This window comes from Homo sapiens, chromosome 2, assembly GCF_000001405.40.
Source record: "Homo sapiens chromosome 2, GRCh38.p14 Primary Assembly".
NCBI classification, from domain to species: domain Eukaryota; kingdom Metazoa; phylum Chordata; class Mammalia; order Primates; family Hominidae; genus Homo; species Homo sapiens.
This window is the reverse complement of record NC_000002.12, coordinates 179,961,645-179,982,134: the sequence shown is the minus strand read 5'-3', so window position 1 is coordinate 179,982,134 and position 20,490 is coordinate 179,961,645. Positions and strand designations below refer to the sequence as shown.

The following is a 20,490-nucleotide window of genomic DNA, read 5'->3' as shown; positions in this document are numbered from 1 at the left end:
TTTGTCACCATTCTAAACCACTTTTCCTAGTCTGAATTTGTGGGACCCACTTATGGTCTCACTCATTTGTGTGCAGTTAATTGCTAAGAGTGTGTTTTATATTGTCTTTTCTGCTCTTCAAAAAATTTATATTACAGAAACAGGGACCGAGAAAAACGCAGAGAAAGAGAAAGAGATACGGATCGGAAAAGGTCTCGGAAATCCCCATCTCCTGGGAGGAGAAACCCAGAAACATCAGTAACTCAGAGTTCCTCTGCTCAGGATGAACCTGCTACAAAGAAAAAGAAAGATGAGCTGGATCCTCTTCTTACTCGCACTGGTGGAGCATATATTCCCCCTGCAAAGCTCAGGATGATGCAGGAACAGATTACAGATAAAAACAGGCATGTTTATATCAATCAGTATACAAAGCCATGAAATTGTCATTGAAAAATAAGTCAACTGTGGTTTAATTAACCCTGGTTCTTGAGAATTTACGTTAGTCTATAGTGATAGAGACCTCAAATTAGAGACCTCTTTACTTTATAGCTCCATTGGAGAGCCACACACTACGTGCCCTTATATTAGCACATTACTTCTTTTTTCTTTTTTTTGCATGAATGAATTAAAAAGTTTGAGGAAAAGATTGCTTACCCTTTTTATAGTATGTTCAAACTATTGTTCCTTTCATAGTTTCATGGATGCATTCCTATTGATAATGTCTGTTTTTTGTAGAAAAGAGTAATACTGACATTTTAGTTCTAAAATTGACTTTTCCTGTTGTAAACCAGGAGTCAGCAAACTTTTTCTGTAAAAGCCCACACTGTAAATATTTTACACTGTGAGTCATTTTGTCTCTGTTGTTGCTACTTAACTCCGCTCTTGAAATGTGAAAATAGTCATAGGCATTGTGTAGAAAATTATAAGCATGGCTGTGTTCCAATAAAGCATTATTTACAAAAGCAGGTGGTCAGCTGCATTTGGCTCATGGGTGTAGTTTGCCAACCTCTGTACTTACCTATAAAACTGAAGCTGGCAATTATCTCTTTTTGTACATTTTCTTCAGATCATGATCTATTAGACTATACATTTTTGCTACTCTAAGGCAGACAGACAAAATTTATATATGAACAATCACACTTAAAACACTCCTCCTTCCCTTTTCAGAATAATTGAGATGGTGAGGAGCTATTTAGGAAAGTACAGCTAAGTTTTTAAGATATTTTTCTCTAATAGGATGAGTTGATAACTAGGGAATGTATGGTCCCAGATTGAAATGATTATTCAGTTGCCAGATAACTAGTTAAAAGATTGGGATAGAAGGTATTAATAGTTATAATTTAAGAAAAACAGATGCAAGGTGAGCCAGACAGGAATATTTCCACATCTTTTCATGAGTGTTTTAGTAGCAATTTGAAAAGTGCTTGAGAAGCTTATTTAAGTTAAATCTAAATTTGTTTCAAGGATTAGCTTGAAGTAGAAACGTCATGATCCGCCCACCTCGGCCTCCCAAAGTTCGAGACCAGCCTGGCCAATATAGTGAAACCCTGTCTCTACTAAAAATACAAAAATTAGCCAGGCGTGGTGGTGGGTGCCTGTAGTCCCAGCTACTCGGGAGGCTGAGGCAGAAGAATGGCATGAACCCAGGAGGCGGAGCTTGCAGTGAGCCGAGATCGCACCACTGCACTCCAGCCTGGGCAACAGAGAGAGACTCTGCCTCAAAAAAAAAAAAAAAATAAGAAATGTCATTTATCTAAAAGAAGCTATGAAGATTTGAAATAAATTAAAACCGAATTTAAGAGCCAGAAAGGGGTATTTGGTGACATTAAATTCAAAACTAATAAGTTTTTCTTTATGTGTCATATTTTAGCGCTTGGCAGTGATATTTGAAGTGTTAGGTTGAAAAGGAATTTGGAGATGGCTTCTGTGGTTAGTAGGACCTTCATTATCATGTAAACGTTTTGCTCATGCACAAGGCAGTAGTGGCAGCATTACTGAAAGGTATTCACTTTCTCCAGTCCAGTCCAAAGCAATCCTGATTGTAAAAGACTAGAAACTTTGTCAGTCCAAGTCTTGCTTCCTTTTAAATAAAGCACACAGGAGAGTCAGCAATACATGCAATTTAAAGCAGATTCCTTTAAGATAATTTTATATACAGTTGAAGTCTGTTCGTAGGCTGTAAAGGGTACAAGGAGAAGTAGACATCTGTAAGAGAAGGCCATAGTCTTTGCTTTCAGTAGATACGTGAATTGTGGGCTTCCTAATTAGGATGTATAATTGTATTTGATGTAGCCGTTTGATTAGTTTAATAAGATAGGTTGTGATTGTATATGAGCAACATCTTATTAATCAGGCCACTTGTTAAGCCATGCATCTTGTGTCTAGAGATAGTGGAATACCAAAAGGTTGGAGTTATGAAACAGTGGAATAGTCCACCTTGGGTACAGGCAGTAAGGGGGTACATAATTTATAGAGAATTTAGAAACAAAATAAAATTAACCGCAAAGTGAGTCTGTTTTTTATCCTCACCATGCTAGCAATACTAAACAATATCAGTGATACAATACTCGTTCCCACCAAGAACTGCTCTCACCAACCTTCCTTGTACCACTCCAGAACAGGGATTCTTAACCTACAAGCCCCTCAAGAGGTCCATGAATAGAATTCAAGCAATCAGTCCATGAATGTGTTTGGGGAAAAAATTGAATCTTTATTTTTACTCATCTCTAAAGTTTAGCTTTTGTTTTTTTCTTTTGAGAATGTAGGCAATAGATCAGAGTATTGACAGTCTGTTACAGGTATTTCATGATACGGATTATGGCCATGCTACTTAGAAATTTAAGTAGTTATTAAGCATACTGCCAGTTCTTGTTTAATGTGTTATGAAGCACATAGAATATTATATCAAACTTTTGTTCTTCTCATGTTTCAAAAACTGAATTTTAGTATGATTAGTATCCTTTGTAATCCTATTCATTGTATATATCATCCCAAAAAGTCTACTGATTTCACCAGACTTCCCGAGAGAGACATGTATGGAAGAAAAAAGGTTAAGACTTCCTGCAGCTGAAATCAGATTCCACAGAAAAGCAGTTACAAAACCCATAGAACTGTAGAGCATTGAAAGATCTTAGACATTGTCCAATTCAACCTAAAGAAACTCAATGAGGCCAAGTAATTTCCCCAAAATCTAGGGTAAAAAGCAGTACAGCTATCTAACATTCAACTGGTATAGCTGTAGGACTACTACATCAACATAGAGATTGTCTTTAAAATACACTGAATGGTAGGTAATTCAGCCCCATGATTTCATGTGACTCCCTTTTCCTGTAGTTACCATTTCTTTGTGGCTTAAAACATTTAATTTTGTTGTCTCTGTCATCTTTTTATGAGAAGGGACATACAAATTTTTTTTGTGGCTTATATTTGGGTATTTCATGTTACCATTTAAATTTTTTTAATTGCATTTATTTTAAAGGTTTCCATTAAAGACAAGTTTAAATCAAGCATTATATGTAAAATAAGCATGTATTGAATTTGACTAATAAATTAAATGTACTAGGCATAAGAACAAAATGTTATCCTTATATATCCTTACATAATCTTATTGTATTATTAAAGAAAAATGGTGTATACTTAAGCATATGTATAGAAAATCAAATATGGTTCAGGATATAATCTATTTATCCTGATAGGCATCATATATTTTACTGTACTTGGGGGTCGTTTCATGAAAATAATGTCAAAAATTAAGGAGCACTATGTAGTTTTTATGTTCTTATAGCTTCTTATTATTGTAATTAAGTTTTAATCTTTATTAAAATCACTTCTTTTTAGCTTAGCATACCAGAGGATGAGTTGGGAGGCCCTGAAGAAGTCAATTAATGGCCTTATCAACAAAGTCAACATTTCCAACATAAGTATTATTATTCAAGAGCTTCTTCAAGAAAATATAGTTAGAGGAAGGTAAGTATTGGCTATTTTATTTGTAGTATTTCTAAGTATTTTTTCAAAGGAATATAATATCTACATGAACAATAATCATTGATTTATTGTGCTACTTCATTTCAAAGGTCATTGAGAATATTTATTTAAAATGCAGGACTTATAAAAATATAGACTGCTAAGAAATAACTTGTGCCTTGCTGTTAGAGGTTGTATGGAATTTTTGCTTTTTGAGAAGCTTTGATTTCACATAATGGTTTTTGCAGACATTTACTTAATGCCTCCAGTAATTTAAACTCATGAGGAATAACGAATGTTAAAATATACTACCTCAAACTAATTTAATTTTTTATTTCTTTTTTAAATTGACAAGTAAAAATTGTGTATATTTGTGGTATACATCATGATGTTTTGATATATATGTACTTTGTAGAATGACTAAATCAAGCTGTTTAACATGCATTCACATGCCTGTCATTTTTTGTGGTGAGAACACTTAAAAATCTACTCTGTTTTCAGCTTTCAAGTATATAATATATGGTTATTAACTGTGGTCAAAATATTGTAGAATGGATCTCTGGAACTTATTCCTCCTGTCTAACTGAAATTTTGTGTCCATTGACCAACATCTAAATTCCCCCAACCCCCAGCCTCTGGTAACCATCATTTTATACTCTGATTCTATGAGTTCAGTTTTTTTTAGATTCCGCATATTAGTGAGGTCATGCATTATTTGTCTTTCTGTGCCTGGCTTATTTCACTTAGCATAATGTTCTCCAAGTTCACCTGTGTTTTCCCAAATGACAGGATTTCCTTTATGGTTGAATAGTATTCCATTATACATGTATACATTTTCTTTATCCATTTATTCACAACAGACACTTTAGTTGTTTCCATATTTTCACCATTGTGAATAATGCTGCAATAAATGTGGGAGTGCAGATACCTCTTCAACATACTGATCTCATTTTCTTTGTATATATACCCAATAGTGGGATTGCTGGATCAAATGGTAGTTACAATAAAAAAAAATTTTTTTTATATTGATTTATTTTAGAGATGGGGGTCTTGCTTTATTGTCAGGCCGGAGTACAGTGCATGGTCATAGTTCACTGCCCCCTTGAATTGCTGGGCTCAAGGAATTCTCTCACCTCAGCATCCTAAGTAGCTGGGACCGCAAGCACTCACCACCACACTGGGCTAATTTTTTAATATTTTGTAGAGAATGAGGTCTTGCCATCTTGCCCAGGCTGGTCTCGTACTCTTGAGCTCAAGCAGTCCTCCCGACTTGGCTTCCCAAAGTGTTGGTATGACAGGCGTGAGCCACCGCACCTGGCTGGTAATTCTGTTTTTAATATTTTAAGGAACCTCTATACTATTTTCATAATGGCTGTACTAATTTATATTTCTACCAACAGTGTACAAGCATTCTCTTTTCTCCATGTCCTTGGCAACACTTGCTATTTTTCATCTTTTTTATTACAGCCATTGTAACAGTTGTGAGATGTCTCATTGTGGTTTTAATTTGTATTTCTTTGATAATTGGTGAGGTTTAGCATTTCATATATATATATATGCTATTTGTACATCTTTTGAAAAATGTCTGTTCTTGTTTGCTCATTTTTTAGATTGGGTTATTTGTTTTCTTACTATTGAGTTGAATGCCTAATGTGTTTTGGATATTAACCCCTTATCAGGTGTATGTTTGCAAATGTTTTCTCCCATTCTGTAGGTCATCTCTTCACTCTGTTGATATTTTCCTGTGCTGTGCAGAAGCATTCTAGTTTTATGTAATCCCATTTGTCTCTTTTTGCTTTTGTTGCCTGTGCTTTAGGGGTCATATCCAAAAAATCATTAACCATACCAGTGTCTCAGAGCTTTTCCTTTGTATTTTTCTTTTAGAAACTTATAGTAGTTTCACAGTTTCAGGTCTAATGTTTAAGTCTTTAATCTGTTTTGCGTTGATGTTTGTATATGCTGTGGGACTAAGGTCTATTTTCATTCTTCTGCATCTGGGTATTCTGTTTTCTTGGCACCATTTATTGAAGACACTGTCTTTTCCCTATTGTGTCTTCTTAGCATCTTTGTCGAAAATCAGTTGACTGCCAATGTCTGGATTTATCTCTGGTTTCTTTGTTCTCTGTAGCTCTATGTGTCTGTTTTTATACTATTGTCATTCTGTTTTGATTACTATAACTTTGTAGCAGATTCCAGGTCAGGGAGTGTGATGCCTCCAGCTTTGTTCTTTTTGTTCAAGATTGCTGTGGCTATTTGGAGTTTTTTGTGGTTCCATGTGAGTTTTAGGATTGTTTTTTCTATTTCTGTGAAAAACGTAACTGGAATTTTGATAGGGATTGAGTCCAGTCTGTATGTTGCTTTGGGTACTGTGGACATTTTAACATATTATTTCAGTCCATGGACATGGGATGTCATGCATGTTCTTCCATTTTTTCATCAGCAATTTGTAGTTTTTAGTGTACAGCTCTTTCATCTCCATGGTTAGATTTATTCCTAACTTTTTTTTTCATAGCTATTGTAAATGGGATGTTTTCTTGATTTTTCAGAAAGATAGTTCATTGTAAGCATATGGAAGCACTACTGATTTTTGTATGTTGATTTTGTGTCTGCAGCTTTACTAAATTAGTTTATTAGTTCTAACAATTTTTTGGTTAAGTCTTTAGGGTTTTCTATATTAAGATCCTGTTTACAGCAAACAGGCTTCTCTATTTTTGATTTGGATACCTTTTATTTCTTTCTCTTGCCTAATGGCTCTGGCTAGGACTTCTAGTACTATGTTGAATAGAATTGGAAAGAGTAGGCACCCTTTTCTTATTCCTGATCCTAGAGGAAAAGCTTTCAGCTTGTCACCGTTGAGTATATTAGCTATGGGTTCGTCATATATGGCCTTTATTCCAATTTAATTTCTAGTGAGAGTGAAATGGGAATGTGAGAGAAATGGGAAAGATGAGCAATACATTTTAGAAAAGCAGAAGGGAATCACCGTATTCTATAAGAATATGTGGCTTTAAGCAATTGGTGATATTTAAAAGGGTCAGAAAATAGAATTACTCCATGTTGTATTTATTATTTTAAAATCTGAGGGCTGTTTTCTCATGTCATTTTACATGACTATGATTCATCTTTAAAAAAATATGGAATGTAGTGGCCAGGCACGGTCGCTGTAATCCTAGCCTGTAATCCTAGCACTTTGGGAGCCTGAGGCAAGAGGACCACTTGAGTCCAGGAGTTGCCTGGGCAACATTGTGAAAACCTGTCTCTATGAAAAATACAAAAATTAGCTGGGCGTGGTGGCACACAGTAGTCCCAGCTCCTCCGGAGGCTGAGGTGGGAGGATTGCTTGAGCCCAGGAGGCAGAGCTTCCAGTGAGCCAAGATCGCCCCACTGCACTCCTGCCTGGGTGACAGAGTGAGACCCTGTCTCTCCCCAACCTCTCCAAAAAAGGTGGGGGTATAAAGTAGGAGCAGCAAGTTTTAGAGGTAGAGAAAGTTGATCAAGAGACAGCCATTATCCTCAAAAGTGGGCAGAGATCTCTCCAATTTACTTAGAAAAAAAGTAGACTTAGAAGAGTTATGGATTGCTAAAGATACTATAATTTATAAGCTGCATCCTTTTTCTTATTTTCCACTCTAGTGATTCAGTTGTCATATCTAAAACTACCATTAAGACTTTTTTTCCTGACTTTTGGCAATCCAATAATTACTTGTCATTACATTGCTAAAAGTAACTTTAGTTTGCCCAATTTGCCTTTCCCCTTCCTCATCAAATGCATATAGAAACATGACCATTTTCAAAATGAGTTACAAGTAGGTACCTTTTAATTTCCTGTTACTGTTTTAGCATTAATCTGGCATTGCTTTTAATTCGTTTCTTTATTTCTCACAGGAGTATTCCACATCTTCATTTTATTCTACTAAAATTAGACTTAAAGATTTAAACCCAAATTTGTCTTTAATCACAAAATTAATTTTATAAAAATGACAGATCTGTAGTAGAAACTTTATGTTATCTACCTTTTATACTTTTGAAGCAGGTCTGCTTTTGTTTACTTTTTAAAAAATGTTAAAGAAATTATTTATATGAACCTTTTTAAGGTTCAAATTCATGATTAGATATAACAGACTGGGAAAAGAGGAATTATATGTAGAGAGAAAAATTTTGGTGATAAATTGCAGTAAAATCTTCATTCTATTTTACAAAATCACAAATTCACATTTCGTTTTCTGAAAAACAATTTTTATTTATTAGTAAGACAAACTCTTTCCAGTTAGTTCTGATTTAGATTTTATGATTACTTATAGAGAAATATTACTGAATTTTAATAGTTTTTGTTTCGTTTAATTAATTTGGTGATTATTGTTGACTCCTTTTTAAATTCTTTTTTAAACAGAGGACTGCTGTCCAGGTCTGTTTTGCAAGCACAGAGTGCTTCTCCAATCTTCACCCATGTTTATGCAGCATTAGTGGCAATTATCAACTCAAAATTTCCACAAATTGGAGAATTAATCCTCAAAAGGTTAATTCTTAATTTTCGAAAAGGCTATCGAAGAAATGACAAGGTATATATGAATGGCTTGTAAGTAGAATGATACATAGGAACAAACTAACAAACCAGTATCAACAAAAGTAAGCAAGGTTGATTTTGACACAGCTACATAACATAATGCTTTTTAAAAACTGTCTTTCATGAGAACTTCTTTGATCTGTTAAATATCCCTGGCCACTATTGATGAGCCACAAAAATGATGGCTATAACTGTAGAACTATAACTATTTAACCAGAAGGGATACTCTTTCATGTGTTTTATTTTGTAACTTTCTTATAATGTAAAAATTATACTTGTGTGGTACATGTTTTAAATAGATGATGTTAGTAGGCCATAGATTATGTAAATAAATGAAAATTGGGTTTAGTTTATAGGTTAACTTTCCACCTTTATTTTTCAGCAACTTTGCCTGACTGCTTCAAAATTTGTGGCGCATCTTATTAACCAAAATGTGGTAAGTAATTATCTTCAATACTTGGTCCCATTCAGTGGCATTAGACCAGAGGGTTGATGCCACTTCACTGATACCTCTCTATTTTTGCTTTGCTTTATAGTCCTTGGGATAAAAATGTTGGATGATATTTTCATTTTAAAACTATAATAAATATATTTAATGTTCTTTTTTTTTTTCTTTTTTTGAGATGGAGTCTCACTCTGTCGCCCAGGCTGGAGTGCAGTGGCACAATCTTGGCTCACTGCAAGCTCTGCCTCCTGGGTTCACACCATTCTCCTGCCTCAGCCTCCCGAGTAGCTGGGACTACGGGCACCTGCCACCACGCCCGGCTAGTTTTTTTTGTATTTTTAGTAGAGACGGGGTTTCACCATGTTAGCCAGGATGGTCTCGATCTCCTGAACTCGTGATCCACCAGCCTCGGCCTCCCAAAGTGTTGAGATTACAGGTGTGAGCCACCACGCCTGGCCATATTTAATATTCTTTAATATAACACTTTGATGCTGATCAAAACACTTTAGATATTTATCAAATTAATCTGACTTAATACTGTACATGGTTACTTGACTGCAAACCATTCCTTTGAAGAACCATTCCCTTCATTTTTATAAAACAATAAAGTTGGTATCTCCTCCACTTCATTCCCTGCTGTTCATGAGAATCTAATAAATATCTGATATTCTACAAAAACCTCTATTCCTTGCAACCACACAGGTATAGTCATATATTTTTAGAATCACTTGATAGAATAGAGTTGATCGATTTTAATCTGTTTCAAATGCAGGTAATTTTATCATGCTGTTATTCAGTTTGTGTTTATTTTATATTCATTATTTGATGGTTTTGATTTAGCTTTTATTTAACCATGAAAATGCTAAAATTGTCCTTGCTCATACTCAAAAGTTTCCTTCAGATATATATTATCATTTCCAATTTAATATCATGTATAACAGGAAGAATTTTAAAGTCATGCTTAGTCTTATTTCACTAATATTAAATATTTTGATTCTTATTTACATGAAAATTCTTTCACTCTTACAAATCTTTTAGATTTTGACCTAATTAGTCATCATATTATTACAGTGATAACTTGCTACTTAAGACCATGGAAACTTAATTTCACATCTGTAACCAGAGATATATTTCCGTTTTTAAATGTGTATTACACTTAGACTAGAGATTTTTGGCATTGCCATGAAACACTCGATATGATAAATTTTTTGCATCTTCCAGCTGTGGTACAGGGCAGTATTTTCTTGTCACTGACCTAAGACTGTTTGACACCCCTCCTCCCCTAGTAAAAAGAAGTAGTGGGTGTCTTTGATGTTGTGCACAGCTGGAAGAAGATATCTCCTGAGTTGAGATTTAGACTTCTTTCCTCACCATCTTAAATCACTGTCTGACTTTAGAAAGGCATATGTATGGTGTTTTAAACATTCTTTGTTGTTCGTTTTCTTCTCTTAGCAAACTTCTCAATAGAATTTTATTCCCACTCTTCCTGGCATTGTTTATAAATGTCAGTTTTTGAACGTGGCCAGTAATAGTTTGATTTAATTTTTTAAAAAAAGATAGACTATTCAAAACTGTTGTGTTCCAGAAGTTGTTAAGATATTTTGTGATAAAATTAGTATTCATGTAACTTAAGGACTATTTGTGTCTAATAGAGTTGCTGATAGAATGAATTGGGAAATGTATATAAAGAATTGTGATCATGGAGAAGGGTATTATAAATCATATTACTATTTCTTATGTAGTAATTATGAAAATAATTACCTTATTAGAAAGTAGTATATGATTTTTAACATATTTTATCTATGACACTTTCCGTACATAATGGCTAAGAATATTTCTTCTGAAGATAATTCAAATAGTTGTATTCAGCATAGAAAATTAAGATTTTTGAAACAGTCATCTGAAAATTCTTAGTAGACAGATAATAAAAGTGATAGAAAAATTGTATCCCATATTTGGAGTATTTCCATGTGCTTTATAAAACTTTGCCCATCATATGTGCAATATAATTATTGTAAACAGATTTACTAATTTTTAGAAATTATAAAAATAATTTAATGTATGTAAAAGCATTTTGTTTCTTCCTTGTATATGTATTTTATTTAAGGCACACGAAGTATTATGCTTAGAGATGCTCACTTTGCTCCTGGAAAGACCAACAGATGATAGCGTTGAAGTAGCTATTGGTTTTCTTAAGGAATGTGGCCTCAAATTAACACAAGTGTCACCAAGAGGAATCAATGGTAAGTGTACATTCATAGTTTGATGTTAAGTTTTTATTATATTTATTGCTTATTTTATTGTCTTTTCTTTCTGTTAACTTTTAGCTATATTTGAACGCCTTCGAAACATTCTGCATGAGTCTGAAATTGACAAAAGAGTTCAATATATGATTGAAGTGATGTTTGCTGTACGGAAAGATGGATTCAAGGACCACCCCATTATCCTAGAAGGTCTTGATTTGGTGGAAGAAGATGATCAATTCACTCATATGCTCCCTCTGGAGGATGACTATAATCCAGAAGATGTTCTTAGTAAGTCCGGGGCATGTTAGTTGGAAAGAGGCTTACCAACAAATGTAAATATAGAAAATAAACATTAACTTTTACATTTTTTTTAGATGTTTTCAAGATGGATCCTAATTTTATGGAGAATGAAGAGAAGTACAAAGCTATTAAGAAAGGTATGTAAAATTTTATAAAATAATTTAGTTTGGATAAGTAGAAGCAATTTAAGTAGTTACGTAATACTGATAGCAAATATTTAGAGATCCCCACCTAATGAATCGCTGCTCTTATAAAGTTATTCTCTTAGCTGTTTCCTCGGGCATTATTTTTTTCCTGGTGCTTGCCCAGGGTTTTTTACTTCATTCTGAATTACTTACCCCATTGTTCTTTCCTCTTTCCCTCTAAACTATGCAACACTTACGTCTCACCCATCTTAAGAAATATTCATAGATTAGTGGTGGCCTTTATTTAGCTTCTCTACCATTTACATTCTGTGCCACCCAGTTTAGTATTCAATTAAGTGGTATACTTTATTGTAAAGTGCTATACTTTATTGTTTCTTGAGGTCAGGTTAATATCCTTCTGGTAGGATGAATCATAGTATTGGTGCCTCTCTGATAAAATAAATTGATCATTTTCATTTGTACATCATTGGTATATTGTAAGTACTAACTTTGGACAGGTTTTGATGTGTAATTTATCTTTGACATTACTAGCTGAGTGACCTGTAGCAAGTTACTTGTTTGTTGGAAGACTAAATGTTACCTTTCTATGGAAGGATATATAAAACACAGTGTTGTGTATTATCACCTACAATGATAGCTATTATTAGTTACTATTTTCACATTTGTATTATTTTCCTCCTAAAGCTAACACTCAGGCCTACTTACATAATAATTTTATGGGCTTATTTCTCTTGAGTTGTAATTTTACTGGAGAAGTATTTATTGCTGTGGAAGCAATAAAATTTACCTTTGTATTAAACCCCAAAAGTTTGTATTAAAAGCTCTCTGATTATAATAGAAATGTAAAGAGTTGGTTAGCTTTGCAAAATCTTTTATCAGGCTAACAGCACCATTGGGCAAAATGTAATTTTAGTTTTTGTCATTTGTTTGCTTTTAACATAAAGACCAGCCTTATGTAGTCTCATATACAGAGAAAGCAGAAACCTAGAACTCTGTCTCTGTCTGCATTCCATTGTTCAGTAGTGCTTAGAAGTAGAAGGTTGAAATGAAAAGTAAAATTGGGAGAAATCTTCCATTCCTCTGCATTATCCTAAAAACCTGTTATAATAATGAGTTTCTCTTCTTAGATGCTGATTTCCTAGGAGCTTTTCACTGTAATATGCCAGATTCTTTTTTTCTGTTATAATTTCATTTCCAAACAGAGAACTCCATAGATCCATTTTGCCTTCTTTTCTTATGAACCTCTTTTCCTACAGTCTCCCTGAAAAATGCCAAATGTTTTTTGTGAAATTCTTAGATACACCTGATTTGATTTCTTTCTTTTTTAAACTTGAGAATTCTCTATCCATTTCTTTAGCATCTAGGCAATTGGCCAATGCCTGGAAAGTAGTACTTTCTTTTATTATAGCAGTTCTCAAATTCTTTCGTCTCAGGATCCCTTTACACTCTTGAAAATTATTGGCAACTCCAAAGAGCTTCTTTTTATGTGGGTTGTATCTATTGCTATTTACTATATTAAAGGTTAAAACAATATAAAAGAATATTTATTAAATTATTTCAGAATAATAGCAAACCTAGTATATGTTAACATAAATTACATATTTTTATGAAAATCGTTATTTTACGGGCCGGGCATGGTGGCTCATGCCTGTAATTCCAGCATTTTGGGAGGCGGAGGTGGGCGGATCACGAGGTCAGGAGTTCGAGACTAGTCTGACCAACATGGTGAAATCCTGTCTCTACTAAAAATATAAAAATTAGCTGGGTGTGGTGGTGCATGCCTATAATCCCAACGAGTCAGGAGGCTGAGGCAGGAGAATCGCTTGAACTGGGGAGGTGGAGGTTGCAGTGAGCCAAGATCACGCCACTGCACTCCAGCCTGGGCGACAGAGCGAGACTCCGTCTCAAAAAAAAAAAGAAAAATTGTTATTTTACAAAACAAATTTAGTGAGAATGGTGTTTTTTATATTTTGTATTATATATATATTTTATAAAATTTTATTTGTAAAGTTTACTGTCTGGCCTAATGGGAAGCAGCTGGACTCTCATATCTGTTTCTACATTCAATCTATTGCAGTAGGTTGTTTTAATTGAAGTATGTGAAGAAAATCTAGCCCCAGATAGATATGTAGTTAGAAAAAGGGAGCAATATTTTAACAGCCTTTTCAGATAAATGCCAATATTTAACAACTAGTAATTTTAAGATTAATTGCAGTGTGAATTCTGAAACAATATCAATGAACTTTGATAGTGTTGCATTAGAATCCATTTGTCACTTTAAATAAATCTTTTACTCATGCATGATTTTGTAATGTTGCATTAGTCATTTAGAAAATACTAATTCGCTGAGTTATGCACATCTTTTAAATGTTAACATTAATATTATCAAGATCAAATTAACATGTTGATATAATACCTAGATAGCACATTTAATAATATTACCACCGCTCTCGTCCAAAAAAATCTAAGTGTCGGGGAACTCACAAGCTCACAGAGATGGATATAGGTTTTTCAAAATTCTTGAAAACCCTAATGTTTTCATCATCGCAGATATTGTTAGTTGTTTTCCCCAAAGTGACAGTCTCAGTTTGTTTGCATTTGAGAAATTGTTGGCCAAATATCTAACAACTATAGTTAGTTGGCCATTTTTTTCAAGTAAAAATGAAAAAAATAGCTAATTCATCTTGCAAAGCAAGCAGTCACACAAGTGGTTTTCCTTGACATAACTGTCACCATTGTATATATGTCTTTAACAGAAGGGCTATATATATGAACTTTATATTTCATCACTCAGATTAGGATAAAGTCCTATATTCAGGGCTGAGATTTAATAAAATTCATCAAGGACATTCTCAGATGAAACTGGCTTTCTACTTCAAGAGGGTGGCAGTAAAGAATACATTGATTACTAGTGAAGTTTGATGCCTTGTTTAGTGCTTAGGTTACAGAAGTTTTAACCTCCATTGCTTTTGGATCATCATCACAGATGTCAGCACAGTGAAAGGGCAGATACTGTCTTGGTATTATTATGAAAATAGTTTTGACCTCCAGACCACCTCACAGGTCTCAGTGATCCCCGATGGACTCCTAGACCATGCTTTGAAACCACTCCTTTATTCAGTTAATGAAATCCAATTGTCCTTGCCTAAGTGATACTAATAAGTAGAGTCTAAAGTGGAGAGATGAGAAGAGGATGATGTAAATGATTAGACAATTCATTTGACCTTCATTGTTTTGTAAAACATTCTTCTAGAGCTGGCATAAAAAAATGGCCCCAGCAGGAAGTGGGCACAGCTTTAGTAATTAGCACCTTCGACTGACCCAGGTGTACTTGTGTTTTAGCTCTTAACAGCGTTTGGGAAAACAGCAGGAATGCCTGTCTTCCTACTATTGAATACTAAATAGTTTCTTTTAAAAGTCTGTCTAAGCCATGTTGCATAGTAATAAACTAGATACTTCAGATTATCTCTTGAATTCACATTTGTTTGAAATATTCTTGAGATTTATATGTCAGATAAGGGCTGCATGACTACTCTTCATTTTTGTAAAATGATTTGTGTCTCATAATGTGAAGTTCTCTGCTAACTTTCATTATGTGTCTCCTGATTTATACTGCTTAAATATAAAGAAATTAGAATTTTTCTTAAAGTGAATTGGTCCCAGAACTTTGTATTAAAAACCCTCTGATTATAATAGAAATGCGAAAGTAAAGAGTTGGTCAGGTATGCAAAGTCTTTTATCAGGCTAACAGAGCACCATTGGACAAAATATAATTTTAGTTTTTGTCATTTGTTTGCTTTTAACATAATGACTGGCCTTATGTAGTCTCATATACATCACTATTTTCATCCAGCTCTGAATATATCATTTGTATTTTTAAAAGTGATCATCTAATACAGTGCTTGTCTTACCAGTTGTCTTAAAGGCTTTTAAACTTCTGTTTCTGTTTTATATATGAAAAGTCTTTGAATTTATTGTAATGTTCAATTTAGAGATATGTATTTTAATAAAAATCTCATTACTATTTATTTCAAGTGAACACTAAATTATGCAATTATTTTCTCTCCCTTCTTTGTCTTTCCAAGTACATTCTTAGCCTAAATTCTTGTTTTCTGTATCTAGCCTTAACTTTTTGTAATGGACTGTCTTCTTTCTGATGATGAAACAATATTTTGACTCCCATATACTAACTTCTATTCCTAATATTTGCCAGTGCTCTTGCTCTTTTCAAAAACCATCGTCTACTTTTTCTTTGTTTTTTTCATCTCCTTGTTTCATGGACACTTTTTATGTGGCAGAAGAGTGATACATACAGCTCTCTTTAGTCAAATCAGTTATAATGCTTTTTGACAACCTAGGCAATAACACGAGGCTTGGTGGTTATCTTTGTTGGCTAGCAAACTGTTACACCACAGTGGATTTCAACGAACTGAGAATTTATCTTCTTAGAATGAAATACATGTATATGACTTGCACATTTTTTTCCTAAACTTACTTTGTACTTTACAGAAATTCTTGATGAGGGAGATACTGACTCGAACACAGACCAGGATGCTGGGAGTAGTGAAGAGGACGAGGAAGAAGAAGAGGAAGAGGGAGAAGAAGATGAAGAAGGTAAACATGTAGCATATTCAAATAATATTATAAGATACTCTAAAATTAATTCTAATGTAATCTTCTAAAACAATAGTTCTCAATCTTTGGGGAGAGCAAGGACAGCTGCTGATGGCGTCTAGGAGGTGAAGACTAGGGCTGCTGTTAAACAGCCTACAAACCACAAGACTGCCCCCTACAACAAGATATGATCTAGCCCAAAATGCCAGTATTGCCAAGACTGAGAAACTGCTCAAAAAGTATTAAACAAATTCATTTTTTAACATCAGCACAATTTTAATTTAGTATATTATGCCTTTGATTATATTCTAGACAATGAAAAACATGTTTTCTTATTGAGTTCATGTGATTTATGTAGCCCTGGCAGGAATGTGACAAATGAGAGTGACTGCATATTTGCTGTTCATTTTGGCAAAATAGAGTGAAGATGCCAAAAGCTATATTTACACAGAAGTAGTATGTTCTTCCTCTTCAGCTTTGATTACCTTATTTCACAGAAATAAGCTCGGAACTTTACTTTGGTTAAGGCACAGTTAATAAATACATCAGAACATAAATAAACTGGTCATTATTTACATGTATTGCATGTGTGAAGATATTAAAAGTATACATTTGCCTTTTAGGGCATAATAAATACTCTGTCTTATAGTACAATTCTTCTTCTATAACATATTTTGTAAAAATAGATTTAATTTTTTCCAACTTTTTTTATTAAAATTATCTTCTATCCATGTACTACATTTTACTGTTCAGATAAAAACTATTAAATGTTTATAAGGAAAGTTTTCATGCATTAAATAAGAGAAAATTTTAACAAATATATGTATTTATGTTGGACTCATCCAGCCTGTCGTGATGATCTAGTGTTCTCTGCAACTGAATTTTTACGCATGAGTTATACAGTGCGTCTAAATTACCAAGATATTGTTTATAACTCTAGAAATAATATTTTACCAAACAACAGCATGAGTGCAGCCTTTTATAGTGTCTAAATGAGCAGATAACAGATAAACAAAAATAGTTTTCTTGGCTTGGTACTGGACTTCTTTGAGCTAACATTGTCATATAGCAAAAGACTTGAAATAGTTACTTTCAATTCTATAAATACTAATTTACACAGTAAAAAGATAATATTATTAAATTTGTATTGATTCTAAATAGATTTTTGAAGAAAATGCTATACAGAGTTACATTTTAACTTCATCACATTTATTTTTGCAGTTGTGTAATTTTGTTATGTTTCTTTCAGGACAAAAAGTAACTATTCATGACAAAACAGAAATTAACCTGGTCTCATTTCGTCGTACAATTTATCTTGCTATTCAGTCAAGGTAAGGCATCATATCTCAGTTCATCCTTTTTTTGTTTTTGATAAGGGATGGGTAAAGAGATCAGGGATACATTTTAGGGTCTCATAACAGAAAACTGGACACCATTTCAGCATTCTTAGACTCTCTCCCCCATCCCATGCCCAAGCTCATAGTACCTTTCTGTTGGTTCTTTGCTTTATAGGCAAATTGTTTTTACTTAATGGGAAGGTCTAATTGTGTTACCTAATTAAATGGTTTTTTAGCTATATCATTTCTTATAGTTAAGTGCCACTAATAAAAACTTGAAAATAATTCTGTTTTACAAGATAGCAGAGTACCTAATTTTATAATGAAAATGTAATATTTAACATTTTTAAAATTTGGTTTCTAGTTCTGATTCTAGGCAAAGAAGCACTGTTGTGATGACTGTTGGACAGTGATTTGCTCTGCAGATGTCAATGAGTATAAACAGAAATAGGAATTAGACTTAGGAAGATTTTGAGGACTCTTTGAAGTAATGCTAAGTAAGAAGTAGTGTGATGTGATGTCATGAAAACAAAACCTATTCCCTTTGAAGGATGTGAATTTGGTTTTGAAGAGAAATAAATGAGGATGTTAAATCTTAGTGCATCTGGTAGTTTGTATGTGAATCAACCTATTGATTTAATAGGCACACTGTTTACATTTTACACTGGAGGAGAAATGTTTTCTCAGTTTTCTTTCATTACTAGGTTTAGTATATTTCCATTTAGGATGATGTAATAGCAGTAATGATTCATAAGTAGGAGTCATCTGTTTTCAGTCTGAACATTTTTTGGCTTTAGGTTTATCTTCAAATAGAGGAACGTTAAACAGCAAAACATTGGTTGGGAATTTTTTTGCTTTATCCTTACTTATTTTCTCTTCACATAAAAAGTATTAAATATGGCCGGGCGCGGTGGCTCACGCCTGTAATCCCAGCACTTTGGGAGGCCGAGGCGGGCGGATCACGAGGTCAGGAGATCGAGACCATCCTGGCTAACACGGTGAAACCCCGTCTCTACTAAAAATACAAAAAATTAGCCGGGCGTGGTAGCGGGCGCCTGTAGTCCCAGCTACTCGGGAGGCTGAGGCAGGAGAATGGCGTGAACCTGGGAGGCGGAGCTTGCAGTGAGCCGAGATGGCGCCACTGCACTCCAGCCTGGGCGACAGAGCGAGACTCCGTCTCAAAAAAAAAAAAAAAAAAAAAAAAAGTATTAAATATTTTTTCATATAAACTTAAAGTGAAAAGTGAGAAATATTTTCTCAGAGGTGAATATTCTTTGGGTTTGACCTTTCATTTGTTTGTCCTTTTAGAAATCCAACAGTCATCAGTTGTGAGCAGCAGATTTACTGTGTTAGTATTGCAGTTACATTAACTTTGAAGAGTTACAGTGGAGCTCTTTGAATAATTATTTAAAAGAAACGTAACCTTGATAATCTCTGAATCACACAAAGGACTTGAAAAATTAAAGCATTAAAAAACAAGTAATAGCCACTACTACATAGTGGTGTCAGTCCTAGTAGCAGTAACTCCTGTCTTAGATGTTGATTTTCTGTGGGGATTTTTTGTTATTTTTTTTAAACATTATTAATTTTAATTAGTTAATTTTTATTTATAATTGACACATAATAATTGTACATATTTATACCCTAAGGGTGATTATACATTGTATAATCAAATCAGGGTAATTACCATATCTATCTCTTTAAACATTCATCATTTCTTTATGGTAACAACATTCAAAATCTGGCAACATTGTTATTTGCTATAGCCACCCTGCTACGTAATGTGAATCAAGGGCTTTTTGTTCATGCTATTTGACCCTTGTTTTTATTACTGTATTTCCTAAAGATATAAATATGGACACATAATTATATACAGAATTGTTTAGTGCAAAAAAAAAATGGAGACAATCTTATTTTCTACCACAAATAATCAAAATATCCAGTCTATGCCACCACTGAAAATTAGGTTAATAGAGAATTGTTTTAAATGTGAGCAAACAGTGTGATGTAATATTAAGTCAGATAAAAACTATATAACTATATAGAATTGTGCTTGTAGTATTTTCTTAACTGTAAAAATAGGCAGATTCTAGAAGTAATATGTTAACATATCAACAGTGATTATCTTAAGGGGAGGTTTATGTTTATTATATGCCAGGCTAAAAATCAGGAATAGGATGTAATAATCAAGCCAGGTGGCTATGAGGGCATCTTAAACAGTCCACTTTTGAAAATCTTGTGAACAAAAACGAAGTTCTGGCAACTGAACTGTGTGGAAATTTTATTTTTTAAATTTGTTTTTGTTGACTAATCTCACCAGTAGTCTTATCTTCCTTCTGTTATGGCTCCTTAAATACCCTTTTTTATATGCATAAAACATTAAACTACACAATTGCCTTTGCTATTAAAAATAAAACATTCCTCTTTGTTCTTGCTTTTAAACGATATTCCAGTCTGATTTTATTTTATTGAAGTTGTAACATCAGTGGGAGATGGACTGCCATGTCCCCACCTGTTTAGAGTTTCTGATATTGGACACATCAACAAAACCATTTGTAAACACAACTTGGAATCTGGCATCATGTAAAGAAGACAGTAATTCAGTAAATGTCTTCTTTTTTCTTTACCCTCTCCTCAATTGCTATTAATTTGTGTTAAACCTGAAACTCATTTGGTTTAGCAACCTAAGATGAGAACTAAAATATCAAGAAAATTTAATTCATTTAATATTTATAATTAGTACAACCTAAAAACTGTCTTGGTGTAGGGGGGGTCATTAAATACTTTCAAAATAAAATAAGAACAGGAAAAACAGACTGTCATATAGCTTTCTCCCTGATACTTCACTTAGTAGATAAAAGAAAAGTAGTAACATTTCTTCATCAACTACTCGACT

At 33.7% G+C, this 20,490-nt stretch overlaps 1 protein-coding gene across 5 annotated transcripts in view; it reads left to right on the top strand.

Annotated features, from left to right (window-relative positions):
* Window positions 1-20,490, top strand: part of CWC22 (CWC22 spliceosome associated protein) — a 62,422-nt gene that overhangs the window by 25,163 nt on the left and 16,769 nt on the right. For all 5 annotated transcript variants that reach the window (NM_020943.3, NM_001376032.1, NM_001376033.1 and 2 more), the window contains 9 exons: window positions 138-383; window positions 3,817-3,945; window positions 8,333-8,501; window positions 8,889-8,942; window positions 11,059-11,194; window positions 11,279-11,485; window positions 11,572-11,634; window positions 16,153-16,257; window positions 17,507-17,588. In NM_020943.3, coding sequence (NP_065994.1) covers window positions 138-383; window positions 3,817-3,945; window positions 8,333-8,501; window positions 8,889-8,942; window positions 11,059-11,194; window positions 11,279-11,485; window positions 11,572-11,634; window positions 16,153-16,257; window positions 17,507-17,588 — 1,191 coding nt within the window. The remainder of the gene's footprint in view (window positions 1-137; window positions 384-3,816; window positions 3,946-8,332; window positions 8,502-8,888; window positions 8,943-11,058; window positions 11,195-11,278; window positions 11,486-11,571; window positions 11,635-16,152; window positions 16,258-17,506; window positions 17,589-20,490) is intronic.